Source organism: Homo sapiens, chromosome 3 (genome assembly GCF_000001405.40).
Source record: "Homo sapiens chromosome 3, GRCh38.p14 Primary Assembly".
Lineage (NCBI taxonomy): Eukaryota > Metazoa > Chordata > Mammalia > Primates > Hominidae > Homo > Homo sapiens.
Genome location: NC_000003.12, coordinates 27636480 through 27662044, shown reverse-complemented (window position 1 = coordinate 27662044; position 25565 = coordinate 27636480). Strand labels below are relative to the sequence as shown.

The following is a 25565-nucleotide window of genomic DNA, read 5'->3' as shown; positions in this document are numbered from 1 at the left end:
CATCCTTTTTCACACGGTGGCAGCAAGGAGAAGTATGAGTGAAGGAAGGGGAAAGTCCCTTAAAAACCATCAGATCTCATAAGAAATCACTATCACAGAACGGCATGAGGGTCACCACCCCAGTGATTCAATTACCTCCCACCGGGTTGCTCCAAGGACACATCAGGATGATGGGAACTACAATTCAAGATGAGATTTGGGTGGGGACATACCCAAAGCATATCTCTCTCTCTCTCTCTCTGTCTTACACACACACACACACACACATACACACACACACACAGAACTGAGAAAGGCTAAGTTAAAAAGGAGAGGCTGAACTTTGACCAAGTGGGGAAAAAAGTCTAGAATATCATCTACACAGTGGTTCCTGAAGTGCACCTGCACTTCGTCTAGTGGATTCCTGTTAGAGTAGCTCCTCTGTGGAACATCGTTTGGGGGAACGAAGTATTCCATAATAATGAATGTCACAGCTAACAAAAATTACCGCTTTTAATATTATTTTAAAATTTGTACATTTTTGCATGAAAAATGTCTTGCAAGTGATATATCTAACTTATATGCTGATGATGGTGGTGTTTACACAAACATATACCAGTGTGAAAATTCTCAGAACTGTATACCACCCCTAATCAATTTTACTTATGATAATTTTTTTTTTGAGATAGAGTGTCGCTCTGTCACCCAAGCTAGAGTGCAGTTGTTCGATCTCAACACACTGCAACCTCCACCTCACAGGTTCAAGCGATTCTCCTGCCTCAGCCTCCCAAGTAGCTGGGACTAGAGGTGTTGCACCTCCACACCTGGCTAATTTTTGTATTTTTAGTAGAGACAGTGTTTCACTATGTTAGCCAGGCTGGTCTCCTGACCTGACCTGAGGTAATTCATCCATCTCAGCCTCCCAACATGCTGAGATTACAGGCATGTGCCACCACGTCCAGCCCTGTATGATAATTTTTAAGACAAAAAAATTTTAAGGGAAAAAATTTCTGCATCTTTTGAGGGAAACATTATGGGAATATTTTTAAAGGGAAATTCCCTTAGTGTTTACAGCAGGTTGGAAGAATTTTTTAAATTAGAAAAAAAAAAAAGGCAGGTGTGGCAGTGGGGAATGTCCCAGCTTTCCTCAACGAGATATTGTGCATATGATTTTACCTCTTTCGTGGGGTTTGAGACATTCATTTGAGGAGCAGGCGACTGATGTCCCCCTGGGTAGAGGCAGTTTTACAGAGAAGCTAATGAAGCTTAAGCACCGTGACTCCTCGTCTGCACAGCGCCATAAGGGCAGGCTCTAGGAGGAAAGTGTAGCATGTTCTAAGTGGCAAGGGGAAACAAGGCTGCATTACGGAATTTTTTCCATGTACATGTTTCTGGTAAATTGCAGAGAGATTGCAGAAGAAAGAGACCTAACTCTCCAGAGTTCCAGGAATTTGGTGTGTGTATATTTTCCCATTATAAATAAATATTCACTTTTGTACCTAATTTTTATTTATATATTTGTTTTTTGTTTTGGTTTGGTGTTTTGTTTGTTTGTTTGTTTGTTTGTTTTTGTTTTTGAGACAGAGTCTTGCTCTGCTGCCCAGGCTGGGGTGCAGTGGCATGGTCTCGGCTCACTGCAACCTCTGCCTCCCGGGTCCTAAGCAATTCTTCTGCCTCAGCCTCCTGAGTAGCTGGGACTACAGGCATGCGCCACCATGCCCCGTTAATATTGTATTTTTAGTAAAGATGGGGTTTCACCATGTTGGCCAGGCTGGTCTCGAACTCCTGACCTCAGGTAATCCACCAGCCTCGGCCTGCCAAAATGCTAGGATTACAGGCATATGCCACCGCACCTGGCCTGTATTCTTTTTCTTTAAAAAGATCTATTAAGTTATATAAGCCACAAAACCTGAGTCCAGCCCTGCTCAAGGGTTACCTCTCGGAGGTATCTTGGGCATTTCATAACCCAGCATTGCTGCATTCTAGTTATTGAGTTGATTTTTTAAAGAGGATTTTTGTCATTATTCCTCCTTTTCCTGTGACAGTATGCCTAATGCTAATTGTTCAGACATTTTATTTGCTATTAATTCCCCTTCTTCTGACCTGTTGGAAATCAGAAAATCATATAGTGAAGTTTTTCATACTTAAACCCTGAGTGAAAATTAAATACAGTTTCTTGTATTTGAACATAATGCCTAAAACTTTTTTTACTCACTTCCCAGCTCCCACATGTACTCATGTGGCTGATATTGCTATGCAAGTTATTACCACTAGAGTTAGGTTTCTATTATATTTTGCTTGGCAAAAAAATAAGACATTTTGAAAAAAATAACAAAAGGAAGTAGGGTGTTAGGATATGATAATTTTTAAAGACAAATTCTAAGCCTTTAAGCTGTTTATTACAGCCATCTTGATCTCAAAGAAATCACCCAACAGTGTACGTGCAGGTACATGCAGTGGACTTTCAATCAGTATTTGTGCATTTGGTTTCAGAGGGCCCCAGGAACACCTGGCTGTGTCTATTTCAGGCTCTGCCTGTAATAAGCGATGGGAGATTTACTAAGTTACTCTTTCTCCATTGTATGGTCTCTAAGGCTCTTCCCACCTCTGTGATTCTGAGTCTACCTCTGGAATTATGGAATGGGTGGGCCTTTGTTCCAGGAAGTTCTGAGGTGTCACTGCAGCGTGTGGCCAGCAGGGGGCTGTGGCATTTAGTGGCCTTCCAGGTTCAGGTCTGCAGGATGCAGAATTGACAAAAAAAATAGATGTCCATCCATCCTCAGAGATTAGTAGTGAGCACTGCTCTTTCCAAACCTTATTCTCCACCTTCACCTATGTCTGATGTAGATTCCAGTAATAAATACTAATAACTATTAATATTAACTACTATGTAACTAACAAATTGCAATTTATACTTATTACTAATAACAATCATTTGTACTCACACAGTACTTTAGTCCTAATCCAGACATTTCTTTCCAGTTACCTGACAGAGTTTGTCAATGCAGAGGAAGAGGACTGGAGAGGCCAACAGTTTCTCCCAGTCCCATCCAGGGAGGGAAGACATCCCTTCTTTCTACCCATCACCTAACATAGCTCTAATGGGTACAGCATGACTCATGAGTTTCACGTCCATGCAGTCTTTGGGCCCATTTCTGCCTCCAAAGCTGATGATTTCAGTGATAAGTGCCTAAGAACTCTTTGCTGCTTGGTTGTACTTTAACTCTGGCTGCTGAGACCATAAGACATTGGGTACAGGATCAGTAAAACCCATATTCTTCTCTGCCCCTTTCTAAAGGACAGAAGATAAGACTCTACTGATTTAAAAAAAGAAAACAAAAAACAAAAAAAAACCTTTCTTGTGGCTCACGCCTATAATCCTAGCACTTTGGGAGACCAAGGTGGGTGGATCATGAGGTCAGGAGTTCAGGACCAGCGTGGCCAAGATGGTGAAACCCCATCTCTACTAAAAACACAAAAATTAGCCAGGCATGGTGGTGAGTGTCTGGAATCCCAGCTACTCAGGAGGCTGAGGCAGAGAACTGCTTGAACCCGGGAGTCGAATTTTGCAGTGAGCCGAGATCACGCCACTGCACTCCTGCCTGGGTGACAGAGCGAGACTCCATCTCAAAAAAACAAAAAACTTTCTTTTCTAAGTGATGATGAGGCAGCAAATTTAGTGAAAGAGCATGGATCCCTGATAAGAAACTTGAAATCCAGTTTTTGCCACTAAGCTATAATATGACCCTGGCTCACTCAAGGCTTCCCCTTCCCTTTCCTCATCTGGAAAAGGAGAAAATGAGCTTTCACAATACAAGGACCTCACTTAACATATTTGTATGTTTTTTCTTTGTTTTTAAAATAATTTATTGTTATTGCCATCTATGTAGACCACAAGATTCTGGAGGGTCCACAAAGTAGAGCTTAGCATCACCATATACCTAACTCACATTACACATCATCAGTGTAATGCACTGATAATAACGTTGTTCATACTGTAATTCATCAAAAAGGAATGTGCAACATGGCAGGCATTGTGTTGGGCATGGTTTTTGTATAAATTCAACAGGGTCATAATCTCTGCTCTCCAAGACTTTACAGGTTAGTTGGGGGTTCTGGAGCAATGCTGTGAATACCATGAATGTAGCGAGCACAGAGTCCCCTATCTCATACTAGGAGCCAGAGAAGACTTAAGGAGATGACACTTGAACTAAATCCTGAAGGATGATAGGAGGTAGGGAGATGAAGAAAAACAGCAAGGGAGCATTTCAGAGGGGCAAGAACAGCATAACCGCAAAGAGGTACCCTGGTCATTAATGCCAATCTAGATGTTCTGTGAAGAAAACCAAAGAGCAGTAGACCCCTCTGGTCCAGAAGTCAGGAAATCGTGATTCATGTCCTGGCAATGCCAACAGCTTTGTGAAACTGGCTCACCCATTCACATCATTGCTTTAGGCCTGTTTATTCATCAGTCTAGTAGGAAAGCAGGCTGGATGTCCTTGACGATGGCCCCAGCCCTAACTTTTTATGGTTTTGTGTTTTATGAGTTGACCCTAAGAACCCAAATGAGAGTTCTGAGCTTCCAGTGACGTTTCAAGTTGGTTGGCACCCCTGAGGTCATTGGCTAAGTCTTAATGAATATGGTGGGATGAATTATACCTAGCACAGCACAGCTGTTCAATGTTTATGTGAATAACCTGAACTCAGCTATTCTCCTCCTCCTCTCAGGAGGGGATGGAAACTGGAAATCATGATCATCTTTTAGAACCAAGGAAATCTGACATGTGACATGTTGGCCAGGCAGCACGGTGCTAAGTGATAAAGCAAGGAATGTTGTATTTGTGCTTGAAGTTGTCTTGTGGGAAAAGTTAGAAAGCTAACCCTGCCTCCTGTGTGGCCCCCAATATTTTTGATGGATTAGGGTCTCCTACACACACTTGGATTCTGGAGAATTAAGTCTTTAACCTTGAACTTGGCTCTTGAAAGGCCTTGAAATCCAGTTTCTTCTGACTGCCTTGAAATCCAGTTTCTTCTGACTCACTCAGGTAGGATACCTACCTTTGTATTGTATGTATTGGCCTACTATGAAAAGAAAAATAAATTCCTAGGCTGGAATGAGGGTGGGTAAGCAGGATTAGTACTGTCCTTTTCTTATCCTCAGCTGCTCAGTGTTTCACTAACTGGTTAAAGCAGAGAGGGCCTGTACGATCCTGTGTCCCCTCCTCCCTAGACTCCTTCTTGTCTCACTTTCTGGAAATAGCTCCTGTCCTTTATGGATTGGATCTTTCCACTCTTTTTTTTTTTTTTTTTTTTTTTTTTTTGAGACAGGTTCTCACTCTGTCACCTAGCCTGGAGTAGAGTGGCATGGTCTCAGCTGACTGCATCCTACGCCTCCTGGGTTCAAGTGATTCTCCTGCCTCAGCCTCCCGAGTAGCTGGGACTACAGGCGCACACCACCACGCCTGGCTAATTTTTGTATTTTTAGTAGAAATGGGGTTTCACCACGTTGGCCAGGCTGGTCTCAAACTCCTGAGTTCAAGTCATCTGCTCGCCTTAGCCTCCCAAAGTGTTGGGATTACAGGCGTGAGCCACTGCACCTGGCCCCTTTCACCTTTTAAATCCGGTTACTAACAGCCAGCCTTGATGTCCTCCCCAGAAAGAAGCCTCTTCCCCATTTCTGCCAGAAATCAGCAGACAAGTCAAGGAAAAGGGAATTAGGCCAGAAATGAAGACTCTTATTCCTTTGTCAAATAATAACATATGGCCAAGGGCCTTATTCTCTGAAGCTGTTTAACAGAAGGTGTCAAGAGAGGTTTTAAAAACACGAGGCAGTTATGGGAATAGGGGAAATATTGCATGACATTTGAACATTATTTATTGTTCTTCTAAATTGATTCCCCTGCGATCTTACCGGGTCAAGTGGAGTTTGCCTATGAATTGTGAGGAAAAGTTCTGCCTAAAACAAATGATCTCCAGAGAGAGACTTACAGGCAAAGTGAACCATGCCTAAGAGGATGTTCTAAGGGTAAAACTTGGGAACTTCAAGTACTTGCTGATTCCTAATGTCCCATCAAGGAAAATGTGGGAGGAAAAGGTAAAAGGAGATAAAGCACCAGTAGCCAGGATGAGTATATTCAAGGATTTCTGCTTGGAGCCAAATGCCATTAACTAGCACCTTGTTTCCACTGTAACATCTGATTCCAAAGAAGATGGACTTGAAGTTTGTTTTTCTCTTGGTCATAACCCTTGAACTGCATTTAAGCCCACATGAAGCCTCCGTGTTTATGACGGTGTCTAGCATAAGACTACCAGCTTGGGAAAACCTTTGTACATGATTGCTGATGTTACTGTTGTACGTTACTAAGGATGTGGTGGGCGGGGTGCTTGAAATGAGATTAAGTTATAGCAAAGCTAATTTTGTTGCATCCGTTGGAATTGATGAGGGATGGGTCAGCTGTTGGGGAGAAAGTCAAAGCCTGGCCTTCCTGGCCCTTGGGAAACTGCTTTGGAAAAGGGAACAAAATGACTCCCTGCCTTAGAATGATGACAGCAATTAGAAATCTGTATGTGAGTCTTTGACATGGGTCAAATATAAGTTCAGATATAAGGTGGTGTCTGCTAATTAGAAACTACAGGTATTGTCTTTAGAATCCCTTGGTTGCCTGGAAGGCAGAGCTGCAGAGGTAGTGTGGGGAGACTCTTGACCAATGGGATGAAAGCAAGGTCTTCCAGGGCCGGGCGCGGTGGCTCACGCCTGTAATCCCAGCACTTTGAGAGGCCAAGGTGGGCGGATCACCTGAGGTCAGGAGTCAAGACCAGCCTGGCCAACATGGAGAAACCCCATCTCTACTAAAAATAAAACATTAGACGGGTGCGGTGGCGCATGCCTGTAATCCCAGGTACTTGGGAGGATGAGGTAGGAGAATCACTTGAACCTGGGAGGCGGAGGTTGTGGTGAGCCGAGATCGTGCCACTGCACTCCAGCCTGGGCAACAAGAGCAAAACTCCGTCTCAAAAAAAAAAAAAGAAAGAAAGAAAGAAAGATCTTCCTTTTCTACACAGCGTGCTTCTTGGCCTGTATTCCACCCAGCATCTTGAGGCTAAATGCAGCCCCACTGGAATAAGAAGCATCAGTTGTGAGAAATAGAAGATTGTATTTACAACAATGCATGAGGCATAGAGAACTATTTTGGAGGGCATTCTTTCTGATTAGTTTTCTACCATAATTGGAGCCAACTGCCATTTTGTACAAGTTATCAATGAGCTCCACAGTACCATGGAACATTTTTGCCTTGGATATCCTGAATGTGACACTGGCTTTGTTCCCTGTCAGGTGTACCACTAAGATTACCTGGTAGGAGGTGAGGGGCAACCTAGCTACCACTTTTTTGCTGCAGGCTTTCCCTATGCTCTGTTGGTCTCTCTGCCTCTGTGTTATGAACAACACGGTTATAAGAAGCTATCCTCTTAATTTCTATAGTCTCTCTGAATAGGGATTTTTTAAGATAAATTTCTAATTTGGTTGAGTCAAAGGCAACTCTGAGAAACCAATGTATCCCCCAAATACAATCCACTCCCACAATGCGCCCTCTAAAAGAGTAATGCAAATTTTTTTTTCAGAGGCAGAATCTCACTCTTGCCCCAGCTTGGAGTATAGTGATGCAATCACAGCTCACTATAGCCTTGAACTCCTGGGCTCAAGTGATCCTTCCACCTCAGCCTCCCAAGTAGCTGGGACTACAGGCACATGTTATCACTCCCATCTGCAAGACAATGAGTCTTAAACTTTGCTGCCTATTGTAGTCAACTGGAGAGTTAGAAAACTCCAGGTGACTAGGGTGCACCCCAGACCAGTTTATCAGATTTTTTCTGGAAGAGGAACACAGTCCTCAATATTTAAAAACAAAACAAAAGAAAAAAATACCCTGAGTGATTACAACACGGAGCCAAGTTTAAGAACCAGTGCTCAAGAATCCCCAGAAATTTGGTGTTAGGACCGAGGACCTGGGTGATTGCTTCAAAAGTGAAGACTCTCAGGCAAATGCATTTCTCTTTAGCCCCATCAGTCACCTGCATTTGCCTGAGGCAAGCAAGAAGAGTGAAATGGCCTTACAATTGTAAATCTTGATGCCTCCAAGGCAATGGGAGGTGCAGCATGCTCCCTCAAAGCCCCTACCTTTGCTTCACAAATAGTGCAAATATGTTTCAGAATATGGATCTTAGCTAAAAGGCTGACCTGCCTATCTTAACTACATAGCTAAGCAGACATTTTAAGGATAAGACAACACAAATAAATATAAGTATTTCTGTCTATCTACTTACCAGATAGTTTTCATAATAAATTTACAGGGTGAGCCATGGCCCTGCCTTTTGCAAAAAATCCCCCATTCATGATTGGAAAAGTGGTTGAGTAGCACTAAACACACCTACACACACACACACACACACACACACACACACAGATGAATGAATGAGTTTTTAACACGACAGCTAAAAATATTATCACAAACTGTTCTGGGACCAATCCCCTGTTCACACCCCCTCAATTATCACCAATGTATCAGAGGCCATTTTCACCTGCTTCTGCAAAGCAGAGTAAGGCATCGACCCTCTCTCAACATAGACATAGCTGTTTGATTTGAAGCTTGGATTTGCTGGCTGGGGGGCCAGGGAACATAATCTCCCTCATATCTACTTTCCAACATTAAAGAACACCCGGGAGCTGAGCTGCCCCCTTGGTAGAGGATGGGGATGGGGCACAGGGAAGTGGCAGTAACTGATGCCTAGTTTTGCTCCCTAGGGTGGTGGCTGTTGAAGAAACTGAGGTCAGCCTGTGCACACAGCTTAATGAGAGTGTCACTTTCTGGGGGTTGTGGGGAGGGAGTGGGTACAGGGCAGGTGAGAAGTGACATTTGCAGACGGTTCCTGGACATGTGTGAGGCTTCTTGCTCTATAATATGAAGCAACATAGCAGTAAAATAAGGACTCCTTGAAAGACAGATGTGTGATCCCCGGGGGAGCCTGGAAATTTCTGAGGCAGGAGATTCTTGGAAAAGACTGGCTGGTAAATCCTTGAAAGCATGGCCACTACAGATTTGTGGTGGTAAATGGGACTATTTTTGTATTCTCATATACAGGGTTAAAAAAGAAAATAATTGAAAAAAAAAGCACAGAATAGTAATATTTAAAATGTACAAATTCTCTGAAATCCAACTACCAAGAGAAAAACCTTATTAACATCTTCCAAATAGTTCTATACAAATATATATATATACACACACACACACATAAATATACGTGCAATATAGCTACACATTTTCACAAACTTGAGGCCTAATGTACATGCTGTTCTGCAACTGGTTATCTTTCAGTCAATAATTAATTAGTCCTGGCACGCTCTTCAATAGATGGTGCTGGAAAACTGGATATTCATATGCAGAATAAAACTAGACACCCATCTCCCACCATATACAAAAATCCACTCAAAATTGATTAAAGACTTAAATGTAAGACCCAAAACTATAAAACTGCTAGAAGAAAACAGGGAAAATACTTCAGGACATTGGTCTGGGCAAAGATTTTATGGCTAAGACTTCAAAAGCAAAGGCAACAAAAGCAAAAGAAAGCAAATGGTTCTACATAAAACTAAAAAGCTCTGAAGAGCAAAGGAAAAAACAGTGAAGAGATGTAAAATGGGAAAAAAATTTGCAAACTATTCATCTGACAAGATGAATATATAAGGAACTCAACAACAACAACAAAAACCCCTCAAAAACCAAAAAACAAATAATCCCATTAAAAAGTGGGAAAAGGATCTGAACAGACATTCTCAAAGGAAGATAAACAAATGGCCAACAAGTATATTTTTGTAATACTGAATATCACTAATTATCAGGGAAAACAAAACCACAATGAAATGCCATCTTACCCCAGTTAAAATGGCCATCAACAAGACAAAAAATAAATGCTGGTGAGGATGCATAGAAAAGGGAATTCATACACATTGCTGATGGAAATGTAAATTAGTACAACCGTTATAGAAAGCGGTATAGAGATTCTTCAAAAAACTAAAAATAGAACTACTACATGATAGTAATCCATGCAATCTTACTACTTGGTATTTATTCAAAGGAAAGAAAAATCAGTATATCAAAGGAATAATGCATCCCCGTGTTTATTACAGTGCTATCCCACAATAGTCAAGATATAAAATCAACCTAAGTGTTCATTAACAGATGAATGAATTTAAAAATGTGATATATATACACAATGGAATACTATTCAGCCATTAAAATGTGAAATTCTGTCATTTGCAGCAACATGGATGTAACTGAAGATCATTATGTTAAGTGAAATAAGCCAGGCACAGAAGGATAAATATTACATGTCCTCATTCATATGTGGGAGCTTAAAAGTTGGTCTCATGGAGGTAGAGAATAGAAGGACAGTCAGCCAAGGCTGGGAAGGGTGTTTCACGGGGAGAGGGAGGAGAAAGGTTTATTAATGAGAACAAGCACACAATTAGATACAAGGAATAAGCTTTAGTGTTAGCTAGCACAGAGGGTGACTATAGTTAACAATAATTTATTGTATATTTCAAAATAGCTAGGAGAGAAGATCTGAAATATTCCTAACACAAAGAAATGATAAATGTTTGAGGTGATGGATATCCTGATGCCCTTGACTTGATCATTACACATTGTATACATGTACCAAAATATCACATGTACTCCATAAATATGTATAATTATTATGCATCAATAAAAAATAATTACTTTTAGACAGCACAATTAGTCCTGGATTTGCTCTATGTCAATAAATATGCATCCATAACATTTTCAGCATCTGTAGACTGTTCCCTAGTATATACAAGTAATTTGACTAGCTGCTTTGTTTTTTTTGTTTTTTTGTTTTTTGTTTTTTAACATAGTCTCTCTGTATCATCCAGGCTGGTCTTGAGCTCATGGGCTTAAGCAATCGGCCTGCCTCAGCCTCCCAAGTAGCTGGGATTACAGGTCCACAAACCACTGTGCTTAGTTGACTAGCCACTTTTTATGAATAAAGCCACTAACAACTATTTTGTATATGTCTTTTTTTTTTTTCTTTGGACATACACCTTTATTTCTCTTGAAATGCACCTAGGAGATGGATTGCTGGGGCTACAAGCTATCAGTCTCCTATTGGTGGCCACTGCAGTAATCCTTGTACTGCTAGAATGTAAGCTCTGCAAGGGTAAGTACCTTTTCTGTTTGCCTCATAGATGAATTCCAAATGCCTATGTCTGCTCAGGCTGTCTTAACAAAATCCCATGGGCTGGGTGGTTTAAGCACAAGAATTTATTTTTCACAGTTCTGGAGGCTACAAGTCTGAGATGAAGGTGCCAGCAGGGTCAGGTTGCGGTGAGGGTTGTCTTCCTGGCTTGTTGCCTTCTTGCAGTGTCCTCACATGACAGAGAGAGCAAGCTCTGGGGTGTCTCTTCTTCCAAAGGTACTAATCCTATCATGAGGGCCCCACTCTCATGACCTTCTCTGACCTAATTACCTCCCAAAGGCCCCATCTCCAAACCCCATCACTTTGGGAGTTAGGGCTTCAACATATGAATTTGAGGGGGACACAGACATTCAGCTCACGTGTGTTCCCGTTTAAAGACATATTCTGTAATATATAGTGTTGATTCATGAACAGTAAATTCAGGGCTAACACCACTATAACTCATGCCTGAATGAAGTTTATCTAACAATATCTTCTCTGTAAGGTACATCACAGCCTTCTTGAACTATGGTGTACCTTATCACAGGTACAGTGATGTAGGTTGACATCACTTCAGCACTATGCTTTAGGACCATTTTTAACAGTGAAATGACCAACGAAAAGCACAAAAATGTGAAAAATGTGGCACTAAATAGACCATGAAAAGGGTACTTGTTTGCAGTATAAGAGGTGAAGCAAGAAGGCAACACATTACCTTGTTCAATTTCAGCTGGGAATATGTATCCTCAAAGCTTTTGATGCTCTACGTGTTCACGAATGACTGTGAAAATGCTCTGAGTAATGATCTTGGAGTTATAAATAAATTTTAGTGAACAGGCAAATTCACAAATCATGAGATCAACTGAATTTTCATAGGATACATACATTCTCAGAATTGGGCTTGTTAAATAATAGAGTATATACACTTCAAGTACTAATAGATTCTGTCATATATCCACCCCACTTCATGACGAGGTGTATTAATTTGCTTTACCAACAACGGTATACTAGAGTGTTTATTTCCCACATTCTTGTCAACCCTAGACCAGACCTTTAACTTGTATATTCACAAAGCCTAGCATGCTGCCTGGCATGTAGCTGGTGCTTAATCGATGATTGTTGATTTGTTAATTGATTGCATAAAGAATGAATAAATGAATACTTCACTACAGGCTCTTTATTCCTGCCCATTTAGCTGTAGACTTTCTAACTTTCTCTGTGTTTAATATTGACAGTAGTTTCTGGATTACTTCTCTGAGTCTTTTCTACCCTGACCTTTCATGAGTCCAAAGAGCAGTGGGAAAGCAAAAATTCCGAAAAGGAAGGGTGACTCAAGGGCCCAGCTTTTTCTCCACAAAGGACAAGAACTACCAGCAGAAAGCACAAATACCTTTATAAAGCTGATAGGCAATTGATTCTTCGTTTCAGTTTATAAAACGTTTTTCAAACCATTTTTCTCCAGAAAGGACAAGAACTACCAGCAGAAAGCACAAATACTTTTACAAAGCTGATAGGCAATTTATTCTTCGTTTCAGTAAATTATAAAACATTTTTTAAGCCACAGACAACTCTAATTAACACCAAAGAAGATTAAGCATGAACACAAGTTTTTTGCTAACTTTAATGAATTAGTTGGGTTTCTGGAACATTACTCAACACTGGAGAAATAAAGGACAGATATGTGCTTCCCAGTCTGCTGAGCATGATAATGAGGTCTCCACCTCATTTGCAGGGAAAACGTTCTTCAGTGAGCATCTAGAACTGACTGAGATAATGAATCTATGCCCAATTTTCTCCAATTTTATTAATAGATTATTTTACAGACAAATGCAATTATAAATTAGCTATTCAACAGCACACAATGGAATTCATGAACAAATTTGGTTAAATGCTTTTCTTGATTGCACTGTGTGTATAACATGTTTAAAACAGGGATTTGATTCTTAATTTACACCATCAATTAATGTTTGCACCCATTTTATTAATCAGTTCCCCTTGCCAGGAAGAGTCCCAGTTGTTTATTGGTATGCCTGTATTAGCATTTGCTTAGCATCTCTGATTACTAATCTGAAATCCCTAGAAAAAAGGAGGAGAAAATATTTTTTAAATTTGCATTTTTTACATCCAAATACTATCTTATGTTTATGATGTAGTAAAGGTAAAAAGCAGGTTCAAAATAATGTGAATTTATAATGCCAACTTTGTTCATCTAGAAGAGCTTAGAAGAATATATCATAAAATTTTGATCATGGTTATTTCCAGGCAATAGGCTGCCTGGTGACTTATTTTCTTTTTGCTTTCCTGTAGTTTTGGATATTTTTCTCCAGTGAACATGTATTCTTTGAAGAATGTTATATACAGCCTTACACACATACATACAAAGTATACTGAAAACATATAAAGCATTTTATGGTTGCTAGGAGTCCTGATATTCAATAAATCCTTGAGCAAATGGACTATAAAAAATCTATCCCACCCCAGAATGGAGCTCTGTTTGCAACAAATACATTTAACTATATTTCAAATGTATACAATAACCTCACAGAAAGGGGTGGGGAGCTGACCTCAGCAACTTTTAAAAATGCTATTTTTATTGGAGACTGTAAGACTAAAGACAAAAAGAACTCAGTATAAACACCTTACCTAAGTTGGTAAATTTTTTTCTTCAGGGCTTCTGGTTAGCAATATATACTAGAGTTGAACAAATAAATACAACTTAGAGGAAGGAGTTACAAATGTGCAAGACGAGAAGGCTAGAATGTCCCCTATGCTGCTGAATTACAGTAAGAGATACCAGTATAAACTTATGTTTATTTTATATCTGTATTTTAATATATTTTCGTACATATGCATGCAGGTAGCCAGATTCAGAAAAATACATAGATATGTGTGCATACATGTATTAGAATACACACATATATTTCCTTGCTGTGTCAGATGACAGGGCCTAGAAGTAATGACACCCAGCATCAATAAACACAACTAGTGTCCAGATCTTGGTTTCTCAATTCTATGGCTCTTTGGGGCTGGGACAGGAAAAATGAGCTTGGGGATGTCAAAAGGACACAGGAGCCAACCTGAAACAGTTCCCAATGGCCAAAGCTCAGGACGATTTGAGCAAGAAAATAAATAGTCATAATATAGGATTATAAACTAAAAAATTAAATATCCCTGAGTACACATCAATAAAAACTAATGAATAAATAAATGAGGGGAGGAGGGGCACATCTTTTGCGCAGAAGAATTCTAATTAATGTAGATACCGCCCCCTCTAGAAATTGAAACATAATTCTCCTCCTCCTGAGTGTGGGCTGGATTTAGTAGTGACTTAGTTCCAATGAATATATTATGGAAAGGGAAAAATAATACCATTGCAGTGGGGAAGCCTGCGATGGAACCTGAGAATAACATATCTAAGAATTTCCCAGGTGATACTGATGCTGCCAGTCTGACCATACTTTGGGCTATCACTGGTTTCAAAGAACTAATGTATTTTAGAACTTGTTTTACCTAATATGGGGAAAAGGTTTAAATTGGGGGATGAATCCAGTAACCTGGTGAGCCTCAAGGGTACAATCACCTGTCATTATTCTCTCCTGCACTCTGAGCAGTGACACAGCTTTTTATTTTACCCCAAAAACTTTCCATGCAGAAGGTGTTTGCTTACTTACTGAAGTAGAATAGGCTTCCTTAAATGTTTTCTTTGTAAATAGGAATGCCAAGGGGTGTGTCTCTAGTTCAGCAGTTCTCAAATTTTATTGTGCATGAGAATCACTTGGAGAGCTTATTTGAAAAGTATATTTCTGGGCCCCACCCAAGAGACCTTGATCTATTCAATAATAATAGCATTTCTTATATACATTCACTATGAGCCAGACACTACTATAAGCACTTTACATGTATGAATTCATTTAATCCTCACAAGAGCCCTATGTGGTAGCTACTGTTATTATTCCCATTTTACAGATGAGGAAACTGAAACTTTGAATGGTTAACAACTAGTTAGCTAGTTATCAGCTAATCAGTAGTGGAACCTGGAGTACACCCAGGCAGTTGGCTCCAAAGCCTCTTGTCCATCATGACTCTACCGCCTCTTGTCTGAGATGACACTCCTTAATTTGAGCTCTCCAAAGAGACCCTAAAACAAAGACATGGATGTAAGCAGTTTATTAGAGTGACGGCCCCAGAAACACAAACAAGAGAGAGATGAGGCAGGGAACATGTGCACTGATGAGCAGGTTGTAGACTTGGGCAACTAGGGCTCAACCTTACTAGGGATCGTCTGAGGAACTATGAAAAGCAAGCCTTAGAACTGCCCTACTGAGGGAGACAGAGAAGCTGGGGTATTTCTCCACCAACTCCTTTCCTTTATTAGTTGATGGTTGTCTTGCTAGGCATGAATTCCCTGGCACTTAAAAATTTCTCTGGAGCCAGGGAAAGCCCTCAGGCAAAATAGAGAAGAGATTCATGTACAGAAACCATCTAGCTGCAGGCAAACTATGAGGTAAGTCATAGGGATGAAGGGGAGAACATCAGTAGGAATCTGCATTTTATTTTTTAATTTTTTTAGAGATAGGGTTTCACTCTGTCACCCAGGCTGGAGTGCAATGGGGTGATCACAGTTCACTGCAGCCTTGAAGTCCTGGACGCAAACGATCCTCTTGACTTGGCCTCCCAAGTAACCGGGACTACAGGTGTGTGCTGCTGTGCCCAGCAAATTTTTAAAACATTATTTTTTGTAGAGACAGGTCCTCACATTGTTGCCCAAGCTGGGCTTGAACTCCTGGCTTCAAGTGGTCTTCCCGCCTGCCTTGGCCTCCCAAAGTGCTGAGATATCAGGCATGAGCCACCATGCCCGACCAATATGCTATTGTCAGGTGGTGCAGAAAATACACTTTGAGAAACACTCTTTTAATTTGAGGATGCCCTTGGGCTGTCCCATGTGATGGCTCAGGTCACAACAACAGAATTCTAAATGATATGAAATGAGAGGCTGGGCACGGAGGTGCATGCCTATAATCCCAGCACTTTGGGAGGCCAAGGCAGGCGAATCGCATGAGGCCAGGAGTTTGAGACCAGCCTGATCAACACGGTGAAACTCCATCTCTCCTGAAAATACAAAAATTTGATGGGCTTGGTGGCTCAGCTTGAACCTGGGAAATGGAGGTTGCAGCAAGCTCAGATGGTGCCACTGCACTCAAGCCTGGGTGACAGAGCAAGACCCTGTCTCAAAAAAAAAGATATGAAACTAGATGGTTTCCCCCTTCTCTTTTCATCCCTAGCCCCCAAAACTATACCCTAAGAAGTGAGCTGGCCAGGCATGGTGGCTCATGCCTGTAATCCCAACACTTTGGGAGGCCGAGGTGGGCAGATCACCTGAGGTCAGGAGTTCGAGACTAGCCTGACCAACATAGTGAAATCCCATCTCTACTAAAAATACAGAAATTAGCCGGGTGTGGTAGCAGGCACCTGTAATCCCAACTACTCGGGAGGCTGAGGCATGAGAATCGCTTGAACCCAGGAGGCAGAGGTTGCAGTGAGCCAAGATCATGCCACTGTACTCCAGCCTGGGGGATAGGGTGAGACTCTGTCGCAAAAAAAAAAAAGAAGTGAGCCAAATCAGACCAATAATTCTTTAAGGTCCTGGAGTTGAGTCCTGCCTTCTGTCTTAGAGTGACACATCACACAACCATCTGGAGACAACTGGGTCTAAATGATTACAAGATTGCCTTTCTCTAGATGGACAAGGAGAGGGGAGACATTTCTGTGCCCATATTTTCATTTCTATCTAAATATCTCATTTCAAATCTGTTTAAAAATTCATAACTGATTCTCCCCGCATCCCCACCAAACCCCTCTCCCCCACTGATAAAATTGAACAGAAACCAGAATCCAAATCATTGAGCAAATAGAGGATGAAGCTTAAGAGACATCTAAATTAAATACACTATATTTAAGACCCTTGTCTCCCACGGCACTTGCTAAGTCCTGGTGAAACAGCACAACACGAAGAGGGTGTTGAGAAAGAACAAGAACCAGAAATGTCAGAGCTCTGATAGGGGAGCCAAGGAAAGCTTCCAATTCAAGGACTGAAAACTCAGATACCTTCATAGGCAAGACATCTATGTGTCATGGCTGGTTATATAAATGTATGCAAAGCAATTGTGAAAATAGGGTGTGCGCAATAGAGAGTGGCGAGGCCTATGGCAAACTAGAGAATGCGTACTCTAATCAATAATACTGGGCTTAAAACTTTGAGGCTCATCTTTGTCTGCAGACTACTAATTTTTGAATATTCAATATAGGCCCCTTTTAGCTGAGAGGAAACCATTTTCTGATGTCACTCCAGGCCTCATATTCAGCTGGTATGAGCCCATAAATCCATACTTGTTCTGCATAGTCAGGGTCTAGCCACACCTGTTTTTAACTATTTGCCTGTCACCTCTGAGTTCACACAATTAGCAGACCAAAGAACTGAAAACACATGTACTCTCTCTTCTGTCTTCTGCCCTTAAAAACTTACTTACATTTTACATTCATAATATGGAAAAATAAATGTATATAAAAAATTTTAAAACAATAAAAAGTCATCCAGGCACTGTGGCTCATACCTATAATCTCAGCACTTTGGGAAGCCAAGGCAGGAGAATCGCTTGAGGCCAGGAGATCGGGACTAGCCTGGGTAAATAGTGAGACCCTGTCTCTACAAAAATTAACATCAGCCAAGAATGATGGTGCGTGCCTGTAGTTCCAGCTACTTGGGAGGCTGAGGTGGGAAGATTGCTTGAGCATAGGAGTTCGAGGATGCATGATCATGCCACTGCACTTCAACTTGGTGACAGAGCAAGACCCCATCTCTAAAAAAATAAAAAAAAAATAGATGCATAGATAAATGTATCAGTGTAAAATAAGATAATTTTCCAATGAAAAGGACCTGAGATTGTATTAAAAATTCATCTGGAGAGCAGATCCATCTGCAGGATGACACTGACAATCCAAACATTTGTTCAACCTTCTTTTGTTGACCTCTGAGTTCTCAATAGACTGCTTGCGCATGTGTTCTCATTGCGGATACGTTAAAACATATTGAAAAAACTTCTCCACCTTAATTTTTTAAAGTATATTAATAAATACAAAGTCTTGCTTTGTTACTGTCAAGGAAGTTCAGTTTTAAAAAACCCCCGAAATTTGGCAACAGTCAATAAACAAACCAATTGATTGTGAGTAGAAATGCCACAGGTATTTACCCCCTTGAGCTGAGAGCAGGATGTTAGTCAGCTCTAGGAGCTAAGGATATTTTCTGTTTTGTTCTCCTCTGTGTCCCCAGAGACCTAGGATCATGCCTGCCACAAAGACAGCTGTCTGGAAGAGTCAAATTCTGAAATATTTCAAAACCAACTTCTGTTATGCAGAGGTCCTTTACCTCCAAGGGCTGAATGATGAGAGAGGTAGAGATGGGATGATAAAGCACAAGGGACCATCTGGAGAGGTTTGGGGAAATGTCAGTTTGAAGGGATGGGGACTAGGGGGTTAGATGAGGGAGAAACAGAAAGGTGGGTATTCTGAACATGCGTGCAGTTTTCACAGCAAAGAGGCAGGAGAGTGGAAGACAGAAAGAAGGATTTTCTCTGCGGAGCGGGCAGCACAGGGCAGAGGGGAAGGAAAAATAAAACTAGGGATTGAGAGAGAGAGAGGTGATTGGCAGGGTATTGAAAAATACTTTTGCCAGGAGTTCCTGGTATCTCTCTAAGCTTTGCTAGTTCACAGACCTCTCTATACAAGGAATGCAAAACATTGGATTTGGATAGATAATGTATGATTAAGCTTAAAAATACCCAAAAAGGGAAATATTGCGTCAAGAAATGTGTGTCAAAACAGCCAGAGAGAAAGACAACTGGACAGAGGGCTGGTCTTACGGACATAGGCTTCAAGGGAGCCCACCCTGAAAGAAGAGCCGTGTGAGTGATAGAAATCTCATCTAATCTCCCTACAAAGATGCCCTGAGAAGTATCTGTTTCCAGAAATCCAGAATCCTGAATGACTGCGTGCATAGTCAGTCTTTTTTTTTTAGTAAATATGCCCATGAAAGTTAGATTAGGCATTGCCTTTTTTTTTTAAACTATACCCTAAAAATTCTCTGTGAAGCTTTGTATCAGTGTAATTAGGCAAAAGAAAAGCAGGAAACCTTAATGGAATCTTTTGATCCCATTAGGGCTACTGGGACATTTGCTGAGCAAAGTCAGAGGTGGTTAATATCTAACCAGGGTTTAATTTATGATCTGAGTGTACAAACCACTTTCAAGACTATACAGCTGACTAATGAATTTATTAGGGAGATTAATGCTTATTACCTGCCGTTTCAAGACATGCTGTTATGTGCTAACTTGACTGTTGTACCTTGGAACATGCTGAAACCTCCCGAGGTTCACCTGAATGGTGGGTGTGTTCCCCAAGCTTAGTGCTCCCATGGAGTTTGAAGTGGAGGGTTAAGAGGAGTCAGTCCTCACTTCTGTGTTGGTTTCTGTATGTCTCAGCCCGTCACCAGGACTACTATAGCCCATGAGGCTGGCACACTCTCCTCCTCCAGCCCTGCTCAGGGCTTTCCTTGGTTTCCTTGGTTAAGGGCAGGCAATGGATCTGATGTAGGGATATTGCCCTGACAGAGGTCATTTCCCCAACCTTCTGGCAGCCAAGTGGCCACCTCCCTTTGAAAGGTAAGCATATATCTTTCCCATTGCCACTCTCCTTCAGCCTCCTCCCTACTCCTACCTCATAAACAAGAGCAAGTGAATCATGCTATATATTCAGATAGAAATAAGCCCTATTAAGGCAGTATTTAGTAAGGCGGGGCTAATGAACAGATTCATCCACACCAAGCCCCGGAGTCTTAGCTGAAACACTCATGTAGAGTCTTCCTTATCCAGGTATCTCTTTTTCTTAACTCAAAAGTCACTTACTTAACTCAGCCAGGAGTTTTGTTAAAAAAAAAAAAAAAAAAGATTTAATCTAATCTATGTGATAACCGTATACATTTTTTCTTTACCTTTAACCTAGGCCTTGAAGTTCTTACAGCCCACTTGATAAGCTCAAGTGGAATCAGGCCTTCTCTTATTATTAAGAAGCACAGTATTTCCCAAAGACCACTCATCACTCTGCAAATAGTCTAAGGACATGAGGGCCTTAATCAAAGCAAGGGGAGAGAGAAAACTGAAAGTCACACATCAGGCCAATCCCACTGTTGCTTTGGCTGTGGGTGTGACTCTTGGAGACTGATCCCACACAGGCTGGGGGACAGTTATCTGCTAAACTGAGACACTTACTGGTTGAATCATGCCTTGGTTAATAGCACCCCAACTTGGGATTGATCCAAGGTTATAATTATTTTCATTAACCTTCATGTGCTTCATATAGTCACCAAGGTATAGCACTACCAAACAGTATTTGTCCTCAGCTGTATGTTGTACCAATACCAACCCTCCCCCACACCCTCTTCCACCTCTCTGCATTGAACTTGGGTTACCAGCCTTGACCTACCTTTCCCTCATGGTGAGTTCCTCTTTGATATTCTTTCCTGATAATAGCTATTAGTGGTCCTACCTCAATCTAAGAGTGATTCTCCAAGTGCTGAACCTCAAAAGAGTAAGAGCTGGGGTCCAGATGCAGTGGCTCATGCCTATAAGCCCAGTGCTTTGGGAGGCCGAGGCAGGAGGATTGCTTGAGCCCAGCAGTTGGAGACCAGCCTGAGCAACATAGTAAGACTGCCATCTCTGCAAAAAATTTAAAAATTAGTCATGAGGTCAGGAGTTCAAGACCAGCCTGGGCAACATGGTGAAACCCCATCTCTACTAAAAATACAAAAATTTGTTGGGCGTGTCAGTGCACACCTGTAATCCCAACTACTCAGGAGGCTGAGGCAGGAGAATTGCATAAACCTGGGAGGCAGAGGCTGCAGTGAGCCGAGATCACACCACTGTACTCCCAGCTTGGTGACAGAGTGAGACTTCATCTTAAAAAAAAAAAAAAAAATTAATCACGTGTGGTGGTATGTGCCTGTAGTCCCAGCTACTTGCACACTTAATCCCATCTACTTGCACTCCCTCACAAGGGAAGCTGAGGCAGTAAGATTGCTTGAGCCCAGGATTTCAAGGCTGCAGTGAACCACGATCATGCCACTGCACTCCAGGCTGGGTGACACAGAGATACTCAGGCTCAAAAAAAAAAAAAAAAAAAAGTAGAAGCTGAGGATTTTTAGTCCTTCTCTTCCAGGAAGGCTCCTTCACCCTACCCTTCCCTCAGAGGACAGCTCTGTAAGCGGTGAGGAGCCAGAGAAATGAACAACTCTCTCCTTTTGACCCTAAGAAGACCTGAAGAGAGACTCTTCTCTGAACATAAAGAATGTTGGCCGTTTCCTCTGCCTTCCTTTCCACCTCCCAAAACAAGGGGAAAGAAGACTGTAGTCTCTGCTTACCAGGCACTCTATCATAAACAATCTATAGCAATTTCTGATTCCTTCTGCTAAAGAACTATTGTTGAGGGTTGGAGAACAGACAAAGGTTCTTAGCCAAAAGAGTCATCTCTGTTCTGCCATAATCTAAATATTTCTTCTTCAAGTTTCTACTAATTGTCCTCTGTCTGCCTACTCTGTGATGTCCCAACTTTCAGGTCTACTTATGCACTTACTTAAAGGTCTGATTTTATTTTTATTTTATTTTATTTTTTGAGACGGGGTCTCACTTTGTGGTCCAGGCTGGAGTGCAGTGGGTACAATCATGGCTGAGTGCAATGGGTACAATCATGGCTTACTGCAGCCTTGAACCCCCGGGCTCAAGCGATCCTCCTGCCTCAGCCTCTGGAGTAGCTGGGACCACAGGCATGCACCACCAAACTTGGCTAAATTTTTTTATTATTTGTGGAGACAGGCTCTACCTATGTTGCCCAGGCTGGTCTCGAAACTTTGGCCTTAAGCGATCTACCCACTTGGCCTCCCAAAGTGCTAGGATATCAGGTGTGAGCCACTGCGCCTAGCCCAAATTTCATGATCTTTGTCTCTTGTTTCCTTTACAGGTGAAAACCTGCAGATGTGCTGTACAGATGTGGGCTGCTGTTGTACTCATCATTCCAAGTAGATTTGTCTTCTGTCTGTTTGCAAAATGCTGTGGCTCTGCTCTCTAAGCTAGGTAGAAGTGAGCACCCTCTCTCAGGATACTGTATTATGGGTCTGCGGGAGAATTAGAGAGATGTTTTATGCTGCTGCCTATGATATGAGTTTATTTCCTGGTTGAGGTCTGTGCTAGAGCAGGTTCTCACTCAGAAAGGCAGAGACAGGAAGACTGTAGGGCACTTCCTCTATGAACCCACTAAACAGCAACTCTGGGTTCTCCAGTTCCAGGTGCATTTCTGTTCAGATATCTCATGCACTATGTCATATGGTTTTGCAAACTTATCTTCATTCTATTTCACAATTTAGGCACTCCGTTCCAATTCTGGGAAGTGAAGAAGGGTCACTTACTCAATTGACTTCAGGGTCTAGGCAGTAACCAGGTTCTTGGGTTCTCTTTCAACACATACAATCTTTTGACAAACATATAAAGTTTACATGTTGAACGTGCAGGAATATTCCTCAAGTCCGTGAAGAAATTTGTGCACTCCTGTTTTACTTGAAATATAATTTTCAGTTTATCTTTTGCTGTCTTACTCTTTTTGCTTGTTTTTTTTTTTTTTTTTTTTTTTTGAGACAAAGTCTCACTCTGTTGCTCAGGCTGGAGTGCAGTGGCACGATTGCGGCTCACTGCAACCTCCGCCTCCCGAGTTCAAGTGATTTCCCTGCCTCAGCCTCCCAAATAGCTGAGATTGCAAGCATGCACCACCACTCCTGGCTAATTTTTATATTTTTAATAGAGACAGGGGTTCGCCATGTTGCCTAGGCTGGTCTCGAACTCCTGACCTCAAGTGATCTGCCTGCCTGGGTCTCCACGCTGGGATTACAGGCATGAGTCATCGTGCCTGGCCTGATATCTTTCCCGTGATAAAGACATGGGCCCAGATAAATATTTCTTTACTTTGAGATAAATAACATAGCAAGTACAAAGATCAGTAAATGAAAACTGGCCCCAAGATCAGTAAATGAAAACTCAGCCCCAAAGTCAGGTCAATGGTAGGGAACGGTGGAAACTGTGGCATCTTAGGGTAGTCACTAGCCAGTTCCAGCTGCTCACTGTCATACGAAGAAGGATCCATGCCACACGAGAGTCTAGTCTTGTCACATATTCTCATTAAAGTGAAGTGACTCTGATTTTTTTGGTGTGAAATCTCCCTATTTTTACATTTTGGCTCAAAGTTTGTAAAAATACTGTGGAGTCCAAATAAAACATGTCTGCAGACCAGAGCTAGGCTTCAGACTACCAGTTTAGAACCTGCCATGGGAAACGATAATATCTGGGAAGCACAGAGGTACCCCGGTGTTTTAAAGTGAGCAGTAGGCTGTTGAATTCACTTTACTATTGTTGTATTAGAGAAGAGTCAGAACATTTCAACATCTTGAGCACCAAGAATCATCTGAGTGACTTTTTCTTAAGGAATAAATCACACATTATGAAAAACAATGCATGCAACTTTCATCATCCCCTAGCTGTCGCGAACTATAGACAGAAAAGAACTTCATTCTCTCCTATTTTTCCAGGGAGAAAAAGATTCACAGAACATTGTTTTCCTTGGTTCAAATTTGAAGTTCTAACTTGAAGTAGCTAGGTGCTGGAGAGAGGTTAAGAGGCTGGATTGTGTGTTCATTGGTGCTTTATCCCCCTGTAGCTGGGAGAGAGAGGACAAGAAGTAGTACGGTGTCAACATGGTGAAAGAAAATGAGAAGATGCAAAACCGAATGAGGTATTCAATTATACTAATGTTGGCAAATATCTCTGAGGCTGGTATCATGTAGACAAAACATCTGGATAAGTCACTGAAACTGTCAGACCTTAGACAATAGCTGGTACATGAATGCCGTGAGAGTAGCGTTTCCACTTATAGATGGAATGCCTTTCTTCTTCTTTCTTAATTCTTTCAATTGACAAAAGAACACAGCATCACTTGAGTTAGTACTCCTGCATGATAAATAGGACACCCATGGAGGTTGTTCTATCCCTTTTATAACCTCAAGGTGCCAGACCATTTTCACTAGTTCCCTGAATTACGTAAAAAACTTAGAGCCCATGTGTAACCCTCACGCTGTCTAATTTTAACTGAATAGGTTACACAACACTGAGAAAGCTGGCACCTTGTGTGCTATGGCACTAATCATTAGCAATGTTTGGCCGGATGCAGTGGCTCATGCCTGTAATCCCAGCATTTTGGGAGGCCAAGGCGGGCAGATCACTTGATGTCAGGAGTTCAAGACCAGCCTGGCCAAAATGGTGAAACCCCGCCTCTACTAAAAATACAAAAATTTTCTGGGCATTGTGGCACACCCCTGTAATTCCAGCCACTCGGGGGGCTGGGGCAGGAAAATCACTTGAACCGGGGAGGCGGAGGTTGCAGCAAGCCACTGCACTCCAGCCTCAGCAACAAGACTCTATCTCAAAAATAATAATAATTAGTAATGTTCAAGGTCACAAAACAAATGCATAGAAAGGAAACATTGATTAAATAATGAAGAGAGAAATGAATATAAGTACAGCCTGCGTTTAACTTCTCAGGCAGAAAAAAACAATTTTGTTGTTTTTAAATGCATAAATATAATGCTAATGGGTACAGCAAACTTAGCAAACAAAACTAAACATGTCATTTGACCATGGATCTAGGCCTTAATGAATAGGCATGATTTTTAATTAGTCTATCAATTATCTGTAGATAAATGAGTATTGGACGTTACTTGTATTCTTTAAGTCTCCCAAATTTGTATTCTTGGACTCATCTTTGTGTCATCTCCATCTCCAAAAATGTCAGAATACCAAGCCCTGCTAATTGTTACCTTGATCTTCCTTGCCAATCTACTCTTCCCTCCTCAGCCTCTCAGCTAACACCCTAGCCCAGTGCTTCTCATATTTTAATTATATTGACAAATCTCCTGGGGATTTTGCTAAAATATATATTCTGGTGCCAATCCTGTTGGTCCAGGGACGACAGTTTGAGTAGCAAGGCCCCAGCCTAGTTTTTCAAGAACAATCTCCTCCCCACCCTGCTCTCAATTCTAACCTCCCTTCTGGCCCTTCAGGTGAGTTCCAGCCCTTCTTGTATCCCACTGGTTACAAGATAAATGTTTTCTTTCTTCTTTTTTTTTTTTTTTGTTTTTGAGACGAGGTCTCTGTCACTAGGCTGGAGTGCAGTGCTGCGATCTCGGCTCA

At 41.5% G+C, this 25565-nt stretch overlaps 1 long non-coding RNA gene across 1 annotated transcript, besides 2 other annotated features; it reads right to left on the bottom strand.

Annotated features, from left to right (window-relative positions):
• Positions 6655 to 7441: an enhancer, noted in NCBI's record as "H3K27ac hESC enhancer chr3:27696095-27696881 (GRCh37/hg19 assembly coordinates)". NCBI's record gives its function as "activates a minimal SCP1, AML or CMV promoter by ChIP-STARR-seq in naive H9 embryonic stem cells {active_cell/tissue: H9 hESC(naive)}" and the evidence as "EXISTENCE:reporter gene assay evidence [ECO:0000049][PMID:30033119]".
• Positions 12724 to 25546, bottom strand: LOC124906221 (uncharacterized). Its single transcript, XR_007095850.1, has 2 exons — positions 22739 to 25546; positions 12724 to 15367 (listed from the first exon to the last, which is right to left on the bottom strand). It is a non-coding gene; the product is annotated as an uncharacterized LOC124906221 (long non-coding RNA).
• Positions 24001 to 24603: an enhancer, noted in NCBI's record as "OCT4-NANOG hESC enhancer chr3:27678933-27679535 (GRCh37/hg19 assembly coordinates)". NCBI's record gives its function as "activates a minimal SCP1, AML or CMV promoter by ChIP-STARR-seq in naive H9 embryonic stem cells {active_cell/tissue: H9 hESC(naive)}" and the evidence as "EXISTENCE:reporter gene assay evidence [ECO:0000049][PMID:30033119]".
• Positions 25547 to 25565: the final 19 nt, after the last annotated feature.